The sequence below is a fragment of the Homo sapiens genome, chromosome 21 (genome assembly GCF_000001405.40).
Source record: "Homo sapiens chromosome 21, GRCh38.p14 Primary Assembly".
Classification (NCBI taxonomy): Eukaryota; Metazoa; Chordata; class Mammalia; order Primates; family Hominidae; genus Homo; species Homo sapiens.
The window spans coordinates 10,738,445-10,759,858 of NC_000021.9; the positions used below are offsets into that span (position 1 = coordinate 10,738,445).

The 21,414-nt window shown below is 37.9% G+C and overlaps 5 annotated features.

Annotated features, from left to right (window-relative positions):
* Positions 7,709–8,223: an enhancer, noted in NCBI's record as "OCT4-NANOG hESC enhancer chr21:10765790-10766304 (GRCh37/hg19 assembly coordinates)". NCBI's record gives its function as "activates a minimal SCP1, AML or CMV promoter by ChIP-STARR-seq in naive H9 embryonic stem cells {active_cell/tissue: H9 hESC(naive)}" and the evidence as "EXISTENCE:reporter gene assay evidence [ECO:0000049][PMID:30033119]".
* Positions 8,224–8,737: an enhancer, noted in NCBI's record as "OCT4-NANOG hESC enhancer chr21:10765276-10765789 (GRCh37/hg19 assembly coordinates)". NCBI's record gives its function as "activates a minimal SCP1, AML or CMV promoter by ChIP-STARR-seq in primed H9 embryonic stem cells {active_cell/tissue: H9 hESC(primed)}" and the evidence as "EXISTENCE:reporter gene assay evidence [ECO:0000049][PMID:30033119]".
* Positions 8,738–9,252: an enhancer, noted in NCBI's record as "OCT4-NANOG hESC enhancer chr21:10764761-10765275 (GRCh37/hg19 assembly coordinates)". NCBI's record gives its function as "activates a minimal SCP1, AML or CMV promoter by ChIP-STARR-seq in primed H9 embryonic stem cells {active_cell/tissue: H9 hESC(primed)}" and the evidence as "EXISTENCE:reporter gene assay evidence [ECO:0000049][PMID:30033119]".
* Positions 12,407–13,382: an enhancer, noted in NCBI's record as "OCT4-NANOG hESC enhancer chr21:10760631-10761606 (GRCh37/hg19 assembly coordinates)". NCBI's record gives its function as "activates a minimal SCP1, AML or CMV promoter by ChIP-STARR-seq in naive H9 embryonic stem cells {active_cell/tissue: H9 hESC(naive)}" and the evidence as "EXISTENCE:reporter gene assay evidence [ECO:0000049][PMID:30033119]".
* Positions 13,383–14,358: an enhancer, noted in NCBI's record as "OCT4-NANOG hESC enhancer chr21:10759655-10760630 (GRCh37/hg19 assembly coordinates)". NCBI's record gives its function as "activates a minimal SCP1, AML or CMV promoter by ChIP-STARR-seq in primed H9 embryonic stem cells {active_cell/tissue: H9 hESC(primed)}" and the evidence as "EXISTENCE:reporter gene assay evidence [ECO:0000049][PMID:30033119]".

A 21,414-nucleotide genomic window follows, 5' to 3' on the forward strand; every position in this document is an offset into this window, starting at 1 on the left:
CCATTCCATCCATTCCATTACATTCCACTCCACTCCGCTCCACTGCACTCCTTTCAATTCCATTCCTTACCATTCCATTCCATTCGCCGCCACTCCAATACACTCTACTCTATTCCATTCCACTCCATTCCATTCCACTCCATTCCACTTTGCTCCAATTCAGTTTGCCACATTCCATTTGATTCCATTCGATTCTGGTTGATTCTAATCCATTCAATTATATTGCATTCGATTCCATTCCCTTTGGGTCCATCCATTCTAGTCCACTCCAATTCTTTCTATTCCATTCCACTCTGTTGAGGCCTATTTTGGAAAAGGAAATATCTTCACATAAAAACTACACAGAAGCATTCTGAGAAACTTCTTCATGAGTTGTGCATTCAACTCACAGAGTTGAACTTATCTTGTCACTGAGCACTTTTGAATCTCTCTTTTTGTAGAATCTGCAAGTGGATATTTTGAGCCCTTTGTGCCCTATGGTGGAATAGGAAATATCTTCAAATAAAAACTACACAGAACCATTCAGAGAAACTTCTTTGTGATGAATGCATTCCTCACACAGAGTTGAAACTTTCTTTTTATTGAGCAGTTTTGAAACACCCTTTTTGCAGAAAGACCAATTGGATATTTGGAGAGTTTTGAGGCCTATTGTGTAAAAGGAAATATCCTCAAATAAAAACTATCCCAGAAGCATTCTGAGAAACTTCATTGTGATGTGTGCATTCAACTCACAGAGATGAACCTATCTTTTGACTGAGCAGTTTTGAATCTCTCTTTTTGTAGAATCTGTAAGGGGATATTTGGAGCCCTTTGTGCCCTATTGTGTAAAAGGAAATATCTTCATATAAAAACTACACAGAAGCATTCAGAGAAACTTCTTTGTGATGAATACATTCCTCACACGGAGTTGAACCTTTTTTTTTATTGAGCAGTTTTGAAACATCCTTTTTGAAGAATGACCTAGTGGATATTTGCAGAGTGTGGGGCCTATTGTGGAAAAGGAAATACCTTCACATTAAAACTACGTGGAAGCATTCTGAGAAACTTGTTTGTGATGAGTGCATTCATCACACAGAGTTGAACCTTTATTTTTATTGAGCAGTTATGAAACACTCTTTTTGCAGAACCAGCAAGTGGATATTTGGAGAGCTTTGAGGCCTGTTGTGGAAAAGGAAATATCTTCAAATAAAAACTACACTGGAGGAGGAGCCAAGATGGCTGAATAGGAACAGCTCCAGTCTACAGCTCCCAGCGTGAGAGACGCAGAAGACGGGTGATTTCTGCTTTTCCATCTGAGGTACCGGGTTCATCTCACTAGGGAGTGCCAGACAGCAGATGCAGGACAGTGGGAGCAGTGCACAGTTCATGAGCTGAAGCAGGGTGAGGCACTGCCTCACTCGGCAAGTGCAAGGGGTCAGGGAGTTCCCTTTCCGAGTCAAAGAAAGGGGTGACGGACGCACCTGGAAAATCGGGTCACTCCCACCCGAATATTGCGCTTTTCAGACCGGCTTAAAAAACGGCGCACCACGAGACTATATCCCACACCTGGCTCAGAGGGTCCTACGCCCACAGAATCTCGCCGATTGCTAGCACAGCAGTCTGAGATCAAACTGCAAGGCGGCAGCGAGGCTGGGGGAGGGGCGCCCGCCATTGCCCAGGCTTGCTTAGGTAAACAAAGCAGCTGGGAAGCTCGAACTGGGTGGAGCCCACCACAGCTCAAGGAGGCCTGCCTGCCTCTGTAGGCTCCACCTCTGGAGGCAGGGCACAGACAAACAAAAAGACAGCAGTAACCTCTGCAGACTTAAATGTCCCTGTCTGACAGCTTTGTAGAGAGCAGTGGTTCTCCCAGCACGCAGCTGGAGATCTGAGAACCAGCAGACTGCCTCCTCAAGTGGGTCCCTGACCCCTGAACCCCGAGCAGCCTAACTGGGAGGCACCCCCCCGCAGGGGCACACTGACACCTCACACGGCAGGGTATTCCAACAGACCTGCAGTTGAGGGTCCTGTCTGTTAGAAGGAAAACTAACAAAGAGAAAGGACATTCACACCGAAAACCCATCTGTACATCACCATCATCAAAGACCAAAAGTAGATAAAACCACAAAGATGGGGAAAAAACAGAACAGAAAAACGGGAAACTCTCAAATGCAGAGCGCCTCTCCTCCTCCAAAGGAACGCAGTTCCTCACCAGCAACGGAACAAAGCTGGATGGAGAATGACTTTGACGAGCTGAGAGAAGAAGGCTTCAGACGATCAAATTACTCTGAGCTATGGGAGGACATTCAAACCAAAGGCAAAGAAGTTGAAAACTTTGAAAAAAATTTAGAAGAGTGTATAACTAGAATAACCAATACAGAGAAGTGCTTAAAGGAGCTGATGGAGCTGAAAACCAAGGCTCGAGAACTACGTGAAGAATGCAGAAGCCTCAGGAGCTGATGCGATCAACTGGAAGAAAGGGTATCAGCAATGGAAGATGAAATGAATGAAATGAAGCGAGAAGGGAAGTTTAGAGAACAAAGGATAAAAAGAAATGAGCAAAGCCTCCAAGAAATATGGGACTATGTGAAAAGACCAAATCTACGTCTGATTGGTGTACCTGAAAGTGACGCGGAGAATGGACCAAGTTGGAAAACACTCTGCAGGATATTATCCAGAAGAACTTCCCCAATCTAGCAAGGCAGGCCAACGTTCAGATTCATGAAATACAGAGAACGCTAAAAAGATACTCCTCAAGAAGAGCATCTCCAAGACACATAATTGTCAGATTCACCAAAGTTGAAATGAAGGAAAAAATGTTAAGGGCAGCCAGAGAGAAAGGTCGGGTTACCCTCAAAGGGAAGCCCATCAGACTAACAGTGGATCTCTCTGCAGAAACCCTACAAGCCAGAAGAGAGTGGGGGCCAATATTCAACATTCTTAAAGAAAATAATTTTCAACCCAGAATTTCATATCCAGCCAAACTAAGCTTCATAAGTAAAGGAGAAATAAAATACTTTACAGACCAGCAAATGCTGAGAGATTTTGTGACCAGCAGGCCTGCCCTAAAAGAGCTCCTGAAGGAAGCGCTAAACATGGAAAGGAACAACTGGTACCAGCCGCTGCAAAATCATGCCAAAATGTAAAGACCATCGAGACTAGGAAGAAACTGCATCAACTAACGAGCAAAATCCCCAGCTAACATCATAAGGACAGGATCAAATTCACACATAACAATATTAACTTTAAATGTAAATGGACTAAATGCTCCAATTAAAAGACACAGACTGGCAAATTGGATAAAGAGTCAAGACCCATCAGTGTGCTCTATTCAGGAAACCCATCTCACGTGCAGAGACACACATAGGCTCAAAATAAAAGAATGGAGGAAGATCTACTAAGCAAATGGAAAACAAAAAAAGGCAGGGATTGCAATCCTAGTCTCTGATAAAACAGACTTTAAACCAAGAAAGATCAAAAGAGACAAAGAAGGCCATTACATAATGGTAAAGGGATAAATTCAACAAGAAGAGCTAACTATCCTAAATATATATGCACCCAATACAGGAGGACCCAGATTCATAAAGCAAGTCCTGAGTGACCTACAAAGAGACTTAGACTCCCACACATTAATAATGGGAGACTTTAACACCCCACTGTCAACATTAGACAGATCAAGGAGACAGAAAGTCAACAAGGATACCCAGGAATTGAACTCAGCTCTGAACCAAGTAGACCTAATAGACATCTACAGAACTCTCCACCCCAAATCAACAGAATATACATTTTTTTCAGCACCACACCACACCTATTCCAAAATTGACCACATACTTGGAAGTAAAGCTCTCCTCAGCAAATATAAAAGAACAGAAATTATAACAAACTATCTCTCAGACCACAGTGCAATCAAACTAGAACTCAGGATTAAGAATCTCACTCAAAGCCACTCAACTACATGGAAACTGAACAACCTGCTCCTGAATGACTACTGGGTACATAACGAAATGAAGGCAGAAATAAAGATGTTCTTTGAAACCAATGAGAACAAAGACACAACATACCAGAATCTCTGGGACGCTTCAAAGCACTGTGTAGAGGGAAATTTATAGCACTAAATGCCCACAAGAGAAAGCAGGAAAGATCCAAAGTTGACACCCTAACATCACAATTAAAAGAACTAGAGAAGCAAGAGCAAACACATTCAAAAGCTAGCAGAAGGCAAGAAATAACTAAAATCAGAGCAGAACTGAAGGAAATAGAGACACAAAAAACCCTTCAAAAAATCAATGAATCCAGGAGCTGGTTTTTTGAAAGGATCAACAAAATTGATAGACCGCTAGCAAGACTAATAAAGAAAAAAAGAGAGACGAATCAAATAGACAAAATAAAAAATGATAAAGGGGATATCACCACCCATCCCACAGAAATACAAACTACCATCAGAGAATACTACAAACACCTCTACGCAAATAAACTAGAAAATCTAGAAGAAATGGATACATTCCTCAACACATACACTCTCCCAAGACTAAACCAGGAATAAGTTGAATCTCTGAATAGACCAATAACAGGAGCTGAAATTGTGGCAATAATCAATAGTTTACCACCCAAAAAGAATCCGGGACCAGATGGATTCACAGCCGAATTCTACCAGAGGTACAAGGAGGAACTGGTACCATTCCTTCTGAAACTATTCTAATCAATAGAAAAAGAGGGAATCCTCCCTAACTCATTTAATGAGGCCAGCATCATTCTAATACCAAAGCCAGGCAGAGACACAACCAAAAAAGAGAATTTTAGACCAATATCCTTGATGAACATTGATGCAAAAATCCTCAATAAAATACTGGCAAACCGAATCCAGCAGCACATCAAAAAGCTTATCCACCATGATCAAGTGGGCTTCATCCCTGGGGTGCAAGGCTGGTTCAATATAAGCAAATCAATAAATGTAATCCAGCATATAAACAGAGCCAAAGACAAAAACCACATGATTATCTCGATAGATGCAGAAAAAGCCTTTGACAAAATTCAACAACCCTTCATGCTAAAAACTCTCAATAAATTAGGTATTGATGGGACGTATTTCAAAATAATAAGAGCTATCTATGACAAACCCACAGCCAATATCATACTGAATGAGCAAAAACTGGAAGCATTCCCTTTGAAAACTGGCACAAGACAGGGATGCCCTCTCTCACCGCTCCTATTCAACATAGTGTTGGAAGTTCTGGCCAGGGCAAATAGGCAGGAGAAGGAAATAAAGGGTATTCAATTAGGAAAAGAGGAAGTCAAATTGTCCCTGTTTGCAGATGACATGATTGTATATCTAGAAAACTCCACTGTCTCAGCCCAAAATCTCCTTAAGCTGATAATCAACTTCAGCAAAGTCTCAGGATACAAAATCAACGTGCAAAAATCACAAGCATTCTTATACACCAACAACAGACAAACAGAGAGCCAAATCATGAGTGAACTCCCATTCACAATTGCTTCAAAGACAATAAAATACCTAGGAATCCAACTTACAAGGGATGTGAAGGACCTCTTCAAGGAGAACTACAAACCACTGCTCAATGAAATAAAAGAGGATACAAACAAATGGAAGAACATTCCATGCTCATGGCTAGGAAGAATCAATATCATGAAAATGGCCATACTGCCCAAGGTAATTTACAGATTCAATGGCATCCCTATCAAGCTACCAATGACTTTCTTCACAGAATTGGAAAAAACTACTTTAAAGTTCATATGGAACCAAAAAAGAGCCCGCATCGCCAAGTCAATCCTAAGCCAAAAGAACAAAGCTGGAGGCATCACACTACCTGAGTTCAGACTATACTACAAGGCTACAGTAACCAAAACAGCATGGTACTGGTACCAAAACAGAGATATAGGTCAATGGAACAGAACAGAGCCCTCAGAAATAACACCGCATACCTACAACTATCTGATCTTTGACAAACCTGAGAAAAACAAGCAATGGGGAAAGGATTCCCTATTTAATAAATGGTGCTGGGAAAACTGGCTAGCCATATGTAGAAAGCTGAAACTGGATCCCTTCCTTACACCTTATACAAAAATCAATTCAAGATGGATTAAAGATTTAAACATTAGACCTAAAACCATAAAAACCCTAGAAGAAAACCTAGGCATTAACATTCAGGACATAGGCATGGGCAAGGACTTCATGTCCAAAACACCAAAAGCAATGGCAACAAAAGCCAAAATTGACAAATGGGATCTAATTAAACTAAAGAGCTTCTGCACAGCAAAAGAAACTACCATCAGAGTGAACAGACAACCTACAAAATGGGAGAAAATTTTCACAACCTACTCATCTGACAAAGGGCTAATATCCAGAATCTACAATGAACTCAAACAAATTTACAAGAAAAAAACAAACAACCCCATCAAAAAGTGGGCAAAGGACATGAACAGACACTTCTCAAAAGAAGACATTTATGCAGCCAAAAAACACATGAAAAAATGCTCATCATCACTAGCCATCAGAGAAATGCAAATCAAAACCACAATGAGATACTATCTCACACCAGTTAGAATGGCAATCATTAAAAAGTAAGGAAACAACAGGTTCTGGAGAGGATGTGGAGAAATAGGAACACTTTTACACTGTTGGTGGGACTGTCAACTAGTTCAACCATTGTGGAAGTCAGTGTGGCGATTCCTCAGGGATCTAGAACTAGAAATAGCATTTGACCCAGCCATCCCATTACTGGGTATATACCCAAAGGAATATAAATCATGCTGCTATAAAGACACATGCACATGTATGTTTATTGCGGCACTATTCACAATAGCAAAGACTTGGAACCAACCGAAATGTCCAACAATGATAGACTGGATTAAGAAAATGTGGCACATATACACCATGGAATACTATACAGGCATAAAAAATGATGAGTTCATGTCCTTTGTAGGGACATGGATGAAATTGGACATCATCATTCTCAGTAAACTATCGCAAGAACAAAAAACTAAACACCGCATATTCTCACTCATAGGTGGGAATTGAACAATGAGATCACATGGACACAAGAAGGGGAATATCACACTCTGGGGACTGTGGTGGGGTTGGGGGAGGGGGGAGGGATAGCATTGGGAGATATACCTAATGTTAGATGACGAGTTAGTGGGTGCAGCGCACCAGCATGGCACATGTATACATATGTAACTAACCTGCACAATGTGCACATGTACCCTAAAACTTAAAGTATAATAATAATAAAAAAAACTGCACTGAAACATTCTGAGAAACTTCTTTGTGATGTGTGCATTCATATCACAGGTTTGAACCTAACTTATGATTGAGCAGTTTTGAAACACTCTTTTTGTGGAATCTGCAAGTAAATGTTTGGAGCGGTTTGAGGCCTATTGTAGAAAAGGAAATATCAACAAATAAATACTACACAGAAGCATTCAGAAAAACTTCTTTGTTGTGAGTGCATTCATCACACAGATTTGAACCTTTCCTTTGACTGAACAGTTTTGAGACACTCTTTTTGCAGAATCTGCAAGTGCATATTTTAGGACTTTGAGGACAGTTGTGGAAAAGGAAATATCTTCACATAAACACTACACAGAAGCTTTCTGAGACACTTCTTCGTGATGTGTGCATTCACCTCACTGGGTTGTACCTGTCTTATGATTGAGCAGTTTAGAACCGCTGTTTTTGTAGAATATGCAAGTGTATATTTGGAGCACATTGGGGCCTACCGTGGAAAAGGAAATATGTTCACATAAAAACTACACAGAAGCATTCTGAGAAACTTCTTTTTGATGTGTGCATTCATTTCACAGAGATGAACCTTTCTTTTGATTGAGCAGTTTTGAAACACTATATTTGTAGAATCTACAAGTGGATATTTGGAGAGCTTTGAGTCCTATTTTGGAAAAGGAAATATCTTCACATAAAAACTACACAGAAGCATTCTGAGAAACTTCTTTGTGAGGTGTGCATTCAACTCACGGATTTGAACTTTTCTCTTCATTGAGCACTTTTGAATCTCTCTTTTTCTAGAATCTGCAAGTGGATATTTGGAGCTCTTTGCACCCTGTGTTGGAAAAGGAAATATCTTCAAATAAAAACTACACATAAGCATTCTGAGAAACTTCTTTGTGTTGAGTGCATTCATCACACAGAGTTGAACGTTTCCTTTGATTGAGCAGTTTTGAAACGCTCTTTTCGTAGAATCTGGAAGTGGATATTTGGAGGGCTTTGAGGCCAATTTTGGAAAAGAAAATATCTTCACATAAAAATTACACATAGACATTCTGAGAAACTTCTTTTTTATTTGTGCATTCAACTCACAGAGTTGAATCTATCTTTTGATTGAGCCGTTTGGAATCTCTCTTTTGTAGAATCTGCTAGTGAATATTTGGAGACCTTTGTGCCCTATTGTGGAAAAGGAAATATCTTCAAATAAAAACTACACGGAAGAATTCTGGGAAACTTCTTTGTGATGTGTGCATTCAGGTGACACGTTTGAACCTATCTTATGATTGAGCAGTTTTCAATCTCTCTTTTTGTAGAATATGCAAGTGGATATTTGGAGCCCTTTGCACCCTATGGTTGAAAAGGAAACATCTTCAAATACAAACTACACAGAAGCATTCAGAGAAACACCTTTGTGATGACTGCATTGATCACAAAGAGTTTAAAGTTTCTTTTGACTGAGCAGTTTTGATACACTCTTTTTGTAGAAACTCAAAGTAACTATTTGGAGGGCTTTAAGGCCTATTTTGGGAAAGGATATATCTTAACATAAAAACTGCACAGAATTATTCTGAGAAACTCCTTTGTTATGTGTGCATTCAACACACAGAGTTGAGCCTATCTTTTGATTGAGCAGTTTTCAATCTCTCTTTTTGCAGAATCTGCAAGTGGATATTTGTAGCACTTTGAGGCCTACTGTGGAAAAGCAAATATCTTCAAATAAAAACTACACAGAAGCATTCTGAGAAACTTTTTTGTGAGGTGTGCATTCAACCCACAGACTCGAATCTTTCTTTTGATTGAGCAGTTTTCAATCTTTCTGCAGAATCTGCAAGTGGATATTTGGAGTGCTTTGTGGCCTATTGTGGAAAAGGAAATATCTTCAAATAAATACTACACAGAAGAATTCTGGGAAACTACTTTATGATGTATACATTCAGCTCACAAGTTTGAACCTATCTTATGATTGAGCAGTTTTGAATCTCTCTTTTTGTAGAATCTGAAAGTGGATATTTGGAGCCCTTGCATCCCATGGGGGAAAAGGAAATATCTTCAAATAAAAACTGCACAGCAGCATTCAGAGGAACTCCTTTGTGATGAGTGCATTCATCACAAAGAGTTCAAAGTTTCTTTTGATTGAGCAGTTTTGAAACACTCTTTTTGTAGAATCTCGAAGTAGCTATTTGGAGGGCTTTGAGGCCTATTTTGGAAAAGGATATATCTTAACATAAAAACTACACATAATTATTCTGAGAAACTACTGTGTTATGTGTGCATTCAACACACAGAGTTGAACCTATCTTTTGATTGGGCAGTTTTGAATCTCTCTTTTTGCAGAATCTGCAGGTCGATATTTGTAGCGTTCTGAGACCTACTGTGGAAAAGCAAATATCTTCAAATAAAACTACACAGAAGCATTCTGAGAAACTTTTTTGTGAGGTGTGCATTCAACTCACAGAGTCAAACCGATCTTTTGATTGGGCAGTTTTGAATCTCTCTTTTTGCAGAACCAGCAAGTGGATATTTGGAGTGCTTTGAGGCCTATAGTGGAAAAGGAAATATCTTCACATAAAAACTACACAGAGGCATTCTGAGAAACTTCCTTGTGATGTGTGCATTCAACTCACAGAGTTGAACCTATCTTTTGATTGAGCAGTTTAGAATCTCTCTTTTTGCAGAATCTGCAATTGGATATTTGGAGCGATTTGAAGCCTATTGTGGAAAAGGAAATATCTTCACATAAAAACTACACAGAGGCATTCTGAGAAAACACTTTGTGATGTGTGCATTCAACTCACAGAGTTGAACCTATCTTTTGATTGAGCAGTTTTGAATCTCTCTTTTTGTAGCATCTGCAGGTGGATATTTGGAGCCCTTTGTGGCCTACAGTGGAAAAGAAAATATCTTCAAATAAAAACAACACAGAATCATTCCGGGAAACGTTTTTGTGATGAGTGCATTCATCCCAAAGGGTTGAATCTTTCTATTGACTGAGTAATTTGGAAACACTCTTTTTGTAGAATCTGAAAGTGGATATTTGAAAAGCTTTGTGGTCTATTTTGGAAAAGGAAATATCTTCAGATAAAAACTACACAGAAGCTTTCTGGGAAACTTCATTGTTAGATGTGCATTCAAGTCACAGATTTTAACCTATCTTTTGATAGAGCAGTTTTGAAACTCTCTTTTTGTAGAATCCGCAAGTGGATATTTGGAGCTTTTTGTGGCCTATGTTAGAAAATGAAATACTCTCACATAAAATCTATACAGAAACTATCTGAGAAATCTGTTTGTGATGTGTGCGTTCATCTCAAAGAGTTGAACCTTTCTTTTGATTGAGCAGTTTGGAAACACTCTTTTTGTAGAATGTGCAAGTGGACATTTGGAGCGCCTTGTGGCCTATGGTAGAAAAGGAAATATCTTCACATAAAATCTAGACACAAGCAATCTGAGAAACTTCTTTGTGATGTGTGCATTCATCTCACAGAGTGAAATCTTTCTTTTGATAGAGCAGTTTTGAAACACTCTTTTTGCAGAATCTGCAAGTGGACATTTGGAGCGCTTTGTGGTCTTTGGTGGAAAAGGAAATATCTTCACATAAAATCTAGACAGAAGCAATCTGAGAAACTTCTTTGTGATGTGTGCGTTCATCTCACAGAGTTGATCTTTTCTTGATGGAGCAGATTTGGAACTCTCTTTTTGTAGTATCTGCAAGTGGAAAATGGGAGTGCCCTATGGCCTTTTGTGGAAAATAAATTATCTTCACTTAAAAACTACACAGGAGAATTCTGAGAAACTTCTTTGTGATGTGTGCATTCATCTCACTGAGTTGAAACTTTTTTTTGATTGAACAGTGTGGAAACACTCTTTTTGTTGAATCTGCAAGTGGACATTTGGAGTACTTTTTAGCATATGGTAGAAAAAGAAATATCCTCACATAAAATCTATACAGAAGCAATCTGTGAAACTTCTTTGTAATGTGTGCATTCATCTCACAGAGTTAAAAATTTCTTTTGATAGAGCAATTTTGAAACTCTCTTTTGTAGAATCTGCAAGTGAGCATTTGGAGCACTTAAAGGCCTATGGTGGAAAAGGAAATATCTTCACATAAAAACTAGACAGAAGAATTCTGAGAAACTTCTTTGTGATTTGTGGCTTCATCTCACAGAGTTGAACCTTTCTTTTGATTGAGCAGTTTGGAAACACTATTTTGTACAATCTGCAAGTGGATATTTGGAACGCTTTGCGGCCTAAAGTAGAAAAGGAAATATCTTTACATAAAATCTAGAAAGAAGCAATCTGAGAAACTTATTTGTGATGTGTGCATTCATCTCACAGAGTTAAACCTTTCCTTTGATTGAAAAGTCTTGAACTCTCTTTTTGAAGGATCTGCAAGAGGACATTTGTAGCACTTTGCGGCCGACGTTAGAAAAGGAAATATCTTCACATAAAATCTAGACAGAAGCAATCTGAGGAACTTCTTTGTAATGTGTGCATTCATCTCACAGAGGTAACTCTCTCTTTTGTCTGAGCAGTTCTGAAACTCTCTTTTGTTGAATCTGCAAGATGACATTTGGGACGCTTTGACGCCAATAGTGGAAAAGGAAATATCTTCACATAAAAACTAGATAGAAGCATTCTGAGAAAGTTTTTGTGATATGCACAATCATCTCCCAGAGTCGAACCTTTCCATTGATGGACCAGTTTTGAAACACTCTTTGTTTAGAATCTGCAAGTGGACATTTCAAGCGCCTTGAGGCCTGTGGTGGAAAATGAAATATCTTCACATAAAAACTAGACAGAAGAATTCTGAGAAACTTCTTGGTGATGTGTGCATTCGTCTCACAGAGTTGAACCTTTCTTTTGATTTAGCAGTATGGAAACACTCTTTTTGTATAATTTGTAAGTGAATATTTGGAGCACTTTGCAGCCAATGGCAGAAAATTTAATATCTTCACATAAAATCTGACAGAAGCAACCTGAAAATCTTCTTTGTGATGTGTGCATTCACCTCAAAGAGCTAAACCTTTCTTTTGATTGTGGAGTTTTGAAATTCTCTTTTTGTAGAATCTGAAAGTGGATATTTGGAGGGCTTTGTGGCCTATGGTGGAAAAGGAAATATCCTCACATAAAAACTAAGCAGATGTATACAGATAAATATCTTTGTGATGTCTGCATTCATCTCATAGAGGTAAGCCTTTCTTTTGACTGAGCAGTTTGGAAACAAACTTTTTTGAGAATCCACAAGTGGACATTTTGTGCGCTTTGTGGCCTATTGTAGAAAAGGAAATATCTTCACATAAAATCTAGACAGAAGCAATCTGAGCAATTTCTTTGTGATGTGTGCATTCATCTCACAGAGTTGAATCTTTCTTTTGATTGAGCAGTTTGGAAACACTCTTTTTGTAGGATCTGCAAGTGGACATTAGGAGCACTTTGAAGCCTATGGTAGAAAAGGAAATATCTTCACATAAAATCTAGACAGAAGCAATCTGAAAATCTTCTTTGTGATGTGTGCATTCATCTGACAGAGTTAAACCTTTTCTTTTGATAGATTAGTTTTGAAACTGTCTTTTTATAGAATCTGCATGTGGACATTTGGAGCGTTTTGAGATCTATTGTGGAAAAGGAAACATCTTCACATGAAAACTAGAGAGAAGAATTCTGAGAAACTTCTTTGTGATGTGTGCGTTCATCTCAGAGTTGAACGTGTCTTTTGAGGGAGCATTTTGGAAACACTCTTTTTTTCAAAACTGCATGTAGACACTTGGAGCGATTTGCAGCCTATGGCAGAAAAGGAAATATCTTCACATAAAATCTAGACAGAACAAATCTGAGAAACTTCTTTCTGATGTGTGCATTCATCTCAGAGAGTTAAACCTTTCTTTTGATTGAGGTGTTTTGAAACTCTCTGTTTGTAGAATCTGCAAGTGGACATTTTGAACGATTTGAGGCCTATAGTGGGAAAGGAAATATCTCCACATAAAAACTAGACAGAAGAATTCTTAGAAACTTCTTCATGATGTGGGCGTTCATCTCACAGAGTTGAAGCTTTCTTTTGTTGAGCAACTTGGAAACATTCTTTTTGTAGAATCTGCAAGTGCACATTTGGAACGCTTTGCGGCCTGTGGTAGAAAAGGAAATATCTTCACATAAAATCTAGACAGAAGTAATCTGAGAAACCTCTTTGTGATATGTGCACTCACCTCACAGAGTTTAACCATTCTTTTGTTTAAGCAGTTTTGAAACTCTTTTTGCAGAATCTGCAAGTGGACGTTTGGAGTGCTTTGAGGCCTATGGTGGAAAAGGAAATATCTTTACATAAAAACTAGAAAGAAGAGTTCTGAGACAATACTTTCTGATGTGTGCATTTATCTCACAGAGTTGGACCTTTCTTTTGATTGAGTAGTTTGGAAACACTCTTTTTGTAGAATCTACAAGTGGACATTTGGAGCACTTTGCAGCCTGCGGTAGAAAAGGAAATATCTTCACATAAAAACTAGACAGAAGATTTCTGAGAAACTTCTTTGTGTTGTGTGCATTAATCTCACAGAGGTAAATCTTTCTTTTGATTGAGCAGTTTTGCAACTCTCTTTTTGTAGAATCTGCAAGTGGACATTTGGAGGGCTTTGAGGACTAAGGTGGAAAAGGAAATATCTTCACATAAAAACTAGACAGAAGAATTCTGAAAAACTTCTTTGCGATGTGTGCATTCATCTCACAGGATTGAACCTTTCTTTTCATTGAGCAGTTTTGAAACACTCTTTTTGTAGAATCTGCAAGTGGATATTTCGAGAACCTTGAGGCCTATGGTAGAAAAGGGAATATCTTCACATAAAAACTAGACAGAAGAATTCAGAGAAACTTCTTTGTGATGTATGCGTTCATCTCACAGAGTTGAACCTTTCTTTTGGTGGTGCAGTTTGGAAACACTCTTTATGTAGGATCTGCAGGTGGACATTGGGAGCACTTTGTGGCCTATGGTAGAAAAGGAAATATCTTCATATAAAATCTAAACAGAAGCAGTCTGAGAAACTTCTTGGTGATGTAGGCATTCATATCACAGAGGTAAACTTTTCTTTTGATTGAGCAGTTTTGAAACACTCTTTTTGTAGAATCTGCAAGTGAACTTTTGGAGCACTTTGATGCCTATGGTGGAAAGTTAATATCTTCACATAAATCTAGACAGAAGAATTCTGAGAAACTTCTTTGTGATGTGGGGGTTCATCTCACGTAGTTGTACCTTTCTTTTGATTAAGCAGTTTGTAAACACTCTATTTTTAGAATCTGCAAGTGGACAATTGAAGCGATTTGCATGCAGCCTATGGTAGAAAAAGGAAATATCTTCACATGAAATCTAGACAGAAGCAACCTGAGAAACTATATTGTAATGTGTGCATGCATCTCAGAGAGTTAAACATTTCTTTTGATTGAGCAGTTTTTAAACTCTCTTTTTGTAGGATCTGCAATTCAACATCTGGAGCGCTTTGACGCCTATGGTGGAAAAGAAAATATCTTCACATAAAAACTAGACAGAAGAATTCTGAGAAACTACTTTGTGATGGGTGCGTTCATCTCACAGCGTTGAACTTTTCTTTTGATTGAGCAGTTGTGAAACACTATTTTTGGAGAATCTGCAAGGGAAATTTGAAGAGCTTAGAGACCTATGGTTGAAAAGGAAATGTCTTCACATAAAAACTACATAGAATCATTCTGAGACCTTCTTAGTGATGTGTGCATTCATCTCCCAGAGTTGAAACTTTCTTTTGATGGACCTGTTTGGAAATACTTTTTTGTAGAATCTGCATGTGGACTTTTCGAGTGCCTTGACGCCTATGGTGGAAAATGAAATTTCTACACATAAACACTAGACAGAAGAATTCTGAGAAACTTCTTTGTGATGTGTGTGTTCATCTCACAGAGTTGAACATTTCTTTTGATTGAGCAGTTTGAAAACACTCATTTTGTAGGATCTGCAAGTGGAGATTTGGAGCGCTTTGCAGCCTATGGTAGAAAAGGAAATATCTTCACATAAAATCTAGACAGAAACAATCTGAGAAACTTCTTTGTGATGAGAACATTCATCTCACAGAGTTAAACCTTACTTTAGATTGAGCAGTTTTGAAAATCTCTTTTTGCAGAATCTGCAAGTGGACATTTGGAGCACTTTGAGGCCTATGGTCTGAAAAGAAATACCTTTACATGAAAACAAGATAGAAGAATTCTGAGAAACTTCTTTGTGATGTGTGCGTTCATCTCACAGAGTTGAAACTTTCTTTTGATTCAGCAATTTGGAAACACTCTTTTTGTAGAATCTGCAAGTGGACATTTGGAACGCTTTGGGGCCCATGGTGGAAAAGGAAATATCTTCACATAAACACTAGGCAGAAGAATTCTGAGAAACATCTTTGTGATGTGTGCATTCAATTGACAGAGTTGAATCTTTGTTTGAGCAGTTTGGAAACACTCTTTTTATAGAATCTACTTTTGGACATTTGGAGCGCTTTGTGACCTATGGTAGAAAAGGAAATATCTTCACATAAAATCTAGACAAAAGCAATCTGAGAAACTTCCTTGTGATGTGTGCATTCATCTCATAGAGTTAAACCCTTCTTTTGACTAAGCAGTTTTGAAACTCTCCTTTTGTAGAATCTGGAAGTGGACATTTAGAGCACTTTGAGGCCTATTGTGGAAAAGGGAATATCTTCACATAAATACTAGACAGAAGAATTCTGAGAAACTTTTTGCGATGTGTGCATTACCTCACAGAGTAGAACCTTTCTTTTGATTGAGCAGTTTGGAAACACTCTTTTTGTAGACTCTGCACGTAGATATTTGGAGCACCTTGTGGCCCGTGTTAGAAAAGGAAATATCCTCACATAAAATCTAGACCGAAGCAATCTGGGAAAGTTCTTTGTGATGTGTGCATTCATAACACAGAGGTAAACCTTTCTTTTGATTGAACAACTTTTTTTCTTTTGATTGAACAACTTTTTGATTGTACAGAGTTTGATTTGAAACTCTCTTTTTGTAGAATCTGCAAGTGGACATTTACAGAGCTTTGAGATCTACTGTGGAAAAGGAAATATCTTCACATAAATACTAGACAGAAGAATTCTGAGAAACCTCTTTGTGATGTGTGCATTACCTCACAGAGTTGAACCTTTCTTTTGATTGAGCAGTTTGGAAACAGTCTTTTTGTAGAATATGCAAGTGGACATTTTGAGCACCTTGCAGCCATGTTAGAAAGGGAAGTATCTTCACATAAAATCTAGACAGAAGCAATCTGAGAAAGTTCTTTGTGATGTGTGCATTCATAACACAGAGGTAAACCTTTCTTTTGTTTGAATAGTTTTGAAACTCTCTTTTTGTGGAATCTGCAAGTGGACATTTACAGCGCTTTGAGGCCTATTGTGGAAAAGGAAATATCTTCACATAAATACTAGACAGAAGAATTCTGAGAAACTTCTTTGTGATGTGTGCATTACCTCACAGAGTTGAACCTTTCTTTTGATTGAGCAGTTTGGAAACACTCTTTTTGTAGAATCTGCAAGTGGACATTTGGAGCACCTTGTGGCCCATGTTAGAAAAGGAAGTATCTTCACATAAAATCTAGACAGAAGCAATCTGAGAAACATCTTTGTGATGTGGGCATTCATCTCACAGTGTTAAATACTTGTTTTGATTGAGAAATTTTTAGACTCTCTTTTTGTAGAATATGCAAGTGAACATTTGAAGAGCTTTGAGGACTATGGTGGAAAAGGAAATATTTTCACATAAAAACTAGACAGAAAAATTCTGAGAAACTTCCTTGTTATGTGTAAGTTCATCTCACCGAGTTGAATCTTTTGATACAGCAGTTTGGAAACACTCTTCTTATAGATTCTTATAGATTCTGCTAGCGGACATTTGAGTACTTTGCTGCATATGGCAGAAAAGGTAATATCTTCACGTAAAATCTATACAGAAGCAATCTGAGAAACACCTTTGTGATGTGTTCCTTCAACTCAAGGAGTTAAACATTTCTTTTGATTGAGGAGTTTCGAAACTCTCTTTTTGTCGAATCTGCAAGTGAACATTTGGAGCGCTTTGGGGCACATGGTGGAAAAGGAAATATCTTCACATAAAAAATAGGCAGAAGAATTCTGAGAAACTTCTTTGTGATGTGTGCATTCATTTCACAGAATTGAGTCTTTTCTTTGATTGAGCAGTTTGGAAACACTCTTTTTATAGAATCTACTTTTGGATATTTGGAGCGCCTTGCGGCCTATGGTAGAAAAGGAAATATCTTCACATAAAATCTAGACAAAAGCAATCTGAGAATCTTCTTTGTGATGTGTGCATTCATCCATAGATTTTATGTGAATATATTTCCTTTTCTAGCATAGGCCACAAACACTCCAAATGTCCACTTGCAGATTCTACAAAAAGAGTGTTTCCAAGCAGCTCAATCAAAGAAAGATCCAACTCTGTGAGATGAACGCACACATCACAAAGTAGTTTCTCAGAAATCTTATGTCTAATTTTTATGTGAAGATATTTCATTTTCCACCATAGGCCTCAGGCACTGGAAATGTCCACTTGCAGATTCTACCAAAAGAGTATTTCAAAACTGGTCCATCAAAAGAAAGGTTCAACTCAGGGAAATGAATGTAAACATCACAAAGCAGTTTCTCAGAATGCTTCTATCTAGTTTTTCTGTGAAGATATTTCCTTTTCCACAATAGGCCTCAAAGTACTCCAAATGTCTACTTGCAGATATTACAAAAAGAGAATTTCAAAAATGCTCAGTCAAAAGAAAGGATTAACTCTGTGAGATGAATGCACACATCACAAGAGTGTTTCTCAGACGACTTCTGTTGAGATTTTTTGTGAAGATATTTCCTTTTCTACCACAGGTCGCAAAGCGCTCCAAATGTCCACTTGCAGATTCTAGAAAGAGTGTTTCCAAACTGCTTAATCAAAAGAAAAGTTCAAGTCTGTGAGATGACTGCATGCATCACAAAGAAGTTTCTCAGAATTATTCTGTCTAGTTTTTCTGTGAAGATATTTCCTTTTCCTCCACAGGCCTCAAACGGCTCAAAAGGTACACTTGCAGATTCTACAAAAATAGAGTTTCAAAACTGCTCAATCAAAAGAAAGGTTTAACTGTGTGAAATGAATGCACATATCACAAAGAAGTTTCTCAGATTGCTTCTGTCTAGATTTTATGTGAAGATATTTCCTTTTCTACCATAGGCCTCAAATCGCTCCAAATGTCCACATGCAGATTCTACAAAAAGATTGTTTCCAAACTGCCCAATCAAAAGAAATATTCAACTCTGTGAGATGAATACACACATCACAAAGAAGGTTCTCAGAATTCTTCTGTCAAGTTTTTATGTGAAGATATTTCCTTTTCCACCTTAGGCCTCAAAGCTCTCCAAATGTCCACTTGCAGATACTACAAAAAGAGAGTTTTAAAACTGCACAATCAAAAGAAATGTTTAACTCTGTGAGATGAATTCACACATCACAAATAAGTTTCTCAGATTGCTTCTGTCTAGATTTCATGTGAAGATATTTCCTTTTCCACCAAAGGCTGCAAAGCTCTCCAAATGTCCACTTTCAGATTCTGCAAAAAGAGTGTTTCCAAACTGCTCAATAAAAAGAAAGGTTGAACTCCTTAAGATGAAGGCACACATCACAAAAAAGTTTCTCAGAATTCTTCTGTCTACTATTGATGGGAAGATATTTCCTATTCCACCATTGGCCTCAAAGCCCTCCAAATGTCCACTTACAGATTCTACAAAGAGATTTTCAAAACTGCTTAATCAAAAGAAATGTTTAACTCTGTGACATGAGTGCACACATCCAAAGAAGTTTCTCGGATTGTTTCTGTCTAGATTTTATGTGAATATATTTCCTTTTCTACCATAGGCCACAAAGCACTCCAAATGTCCACTTGCAGATTCTACAAAAAGAGTGTTTCCAAACTGCTCAATCAACAAAAAGGTTCAACTCTGTGAGATGAACGCACACATCACAAAGTAGTTTCTCAGAATTCTTATGTCTAGTGTTTATGTGAAGATATTTCGTTTTCCACAACAGGCCTCAAGGAACTGGAAACGTTCACTTGCAGATTCTACAAAAACAGTATTTCAAAACTGGTCAATCAAAGGAAATATTCAACTGTGGGAAATGAATGTGCACATCACAAAGCAGTTTCTCAGAATGCTTTTATCTAGTTTTTATGTGAAGATATCTCCTTCTCCACAATAGGCCTCAAAGCGCCCCAAATGTCCAATTGCAGATACTACAAAAAGAGAGTTTCAAAATTGTTCAATCAAAAGAAAGCGTTAACTCTGTGAGAAGAATGCATACATCACAAAGAAGTTTCTAATATTGCTTCTGTCGAGATTTTTTTGTGATGATATTCCCTTTTCTACCACATGCGGCAAAGCGCTGCAAATGTCCACTTGCAGATTCTAGAAAGAGTGTTTCCAAACTGCTTAATCAAAAGAAAGTTTCAACTCTGTGAGATGAACACATGCATCACACAGAAGTTTCACAGAATTCTTCTGTCTAGTCTTTCTGTGAAGATATTTTCTTTTCCTCCACAGGCCTGAAAGTGCTCAAAATGTCCACTTGCAGATTCTACAAAAATAGAGTTTCAAAATTGCTCAATCAAAAGAAAGGTTTAACTCCATGAGGCGAATGCACACATCACAAAGAAGTTTCTCAGATTGCTTCTTTCTAGATTTTATGTGAAGATATTTCCTTTTGTACTAATAGGCTGAAAAGCGCTACAAATGTACACTTGCAGATTCCACAAAAAGATTGTTTCCAAACTGTTCAATCAAGAGAAAGGTTCAACTCTGTGAGGTGAATGCACACATCACAAAGAAATTTGTCAGAATACTTCTGCCTGGTTTTTATGTGAAGATATTACCTTTTCCATCATATCGCTCAAAGCGCTCCAAATGTCCACTTACAGATTCTACAAAAAGAGAGTTTCAAAACTGCTCTATCAAAACAAAGGTTTACATCTGTGAGATGAATGCACAAATCAAAAGAAGTTTCTCAGATTGCTTCTGTCTAGATATTATATGAAGATATTTCCTTTCCTACCATAAGCTGCAAAACGCTCCAAATGTCCACTTACAGATTCTATAAAAAGAGAATTTCAAAACTGCTCAATCAAAAGAAAGTTTTAACTCTGTGAGATGAATGCACCCATCACAAAGAAGTTTCTCAGATTGCTTCTGTCTAGATTTTATGTGGAGATATTTCCTTTTCCATCATAGACTGCAATGCGTTCCAAATGTCCACTTGCCGATTCTACAAAAAGAGTGTTTTCAAACTGCTAAATGAAAAGAAAGGTTCAACTCTGTGAGATGAATGCAAAGATCACAAAGAAGTTTCTCAGAATTCTTCTGTCTAGTTTTTAGTGTGAAGACATTTCCATTTCCACTATAGGCCTCCACGTGCTCCAAATGTCCACTTGCAGATTCTACAAAAAGAGTGTTTCAAACTGCTCAATCAAAAGAAAGGTTCAAGTCTGTGAGATAAATGCACACATCACAAAGAAGTTTGTCTGAATTCTTCTGTCTAGTTTTCATGAGAAGATACTTCCTTTTTCACCATAGGCCTGAAAGCACTCCAAATGTCCTCTTACAGATTTGACAAAAAGAGAGTTTCAAAACTGCTCAATCAAAAGAAAGGTTTAACTATGTAAGATGAATACAAACATCACAAAGAAGTTTCTCAGATTGCTTCTGTCTAGATTTTAAGTGAAAATATTTCCTTTTCTATCATAGGCCACAAAGCACTCCAAATGTTCACTTGCAGATTTTACAAAAAGAGAGTTTCGAAACTGCTCAATCAAAGGAAAAGTTTCACTCCGTGAGAAGAATGCACACATCAAAAAGAATATTCTCAGACTACTTCTGTCTAGATTTTATGCGAAGATATTTCCTTTTCTACCATAGACCGCATAGCTCTCCAAATGTGCACTTGCAGATTCTACAAAAAGAGTGTTTCCAAACTGCTCAATCAAAAGAAAGGTTCAACTCTGTGAGAAGAACGCACACATCACAAAGAAGTTTCTCAGAATTCTTCTGTCTAGTTTTTATGTGATGATATTTCCTTTTGCACCATGGGCCTCAAAGCGCTCCAATTGTTTACTTGAAGATTCTACAAAAAGAGAGTTTCAAAACTGATCA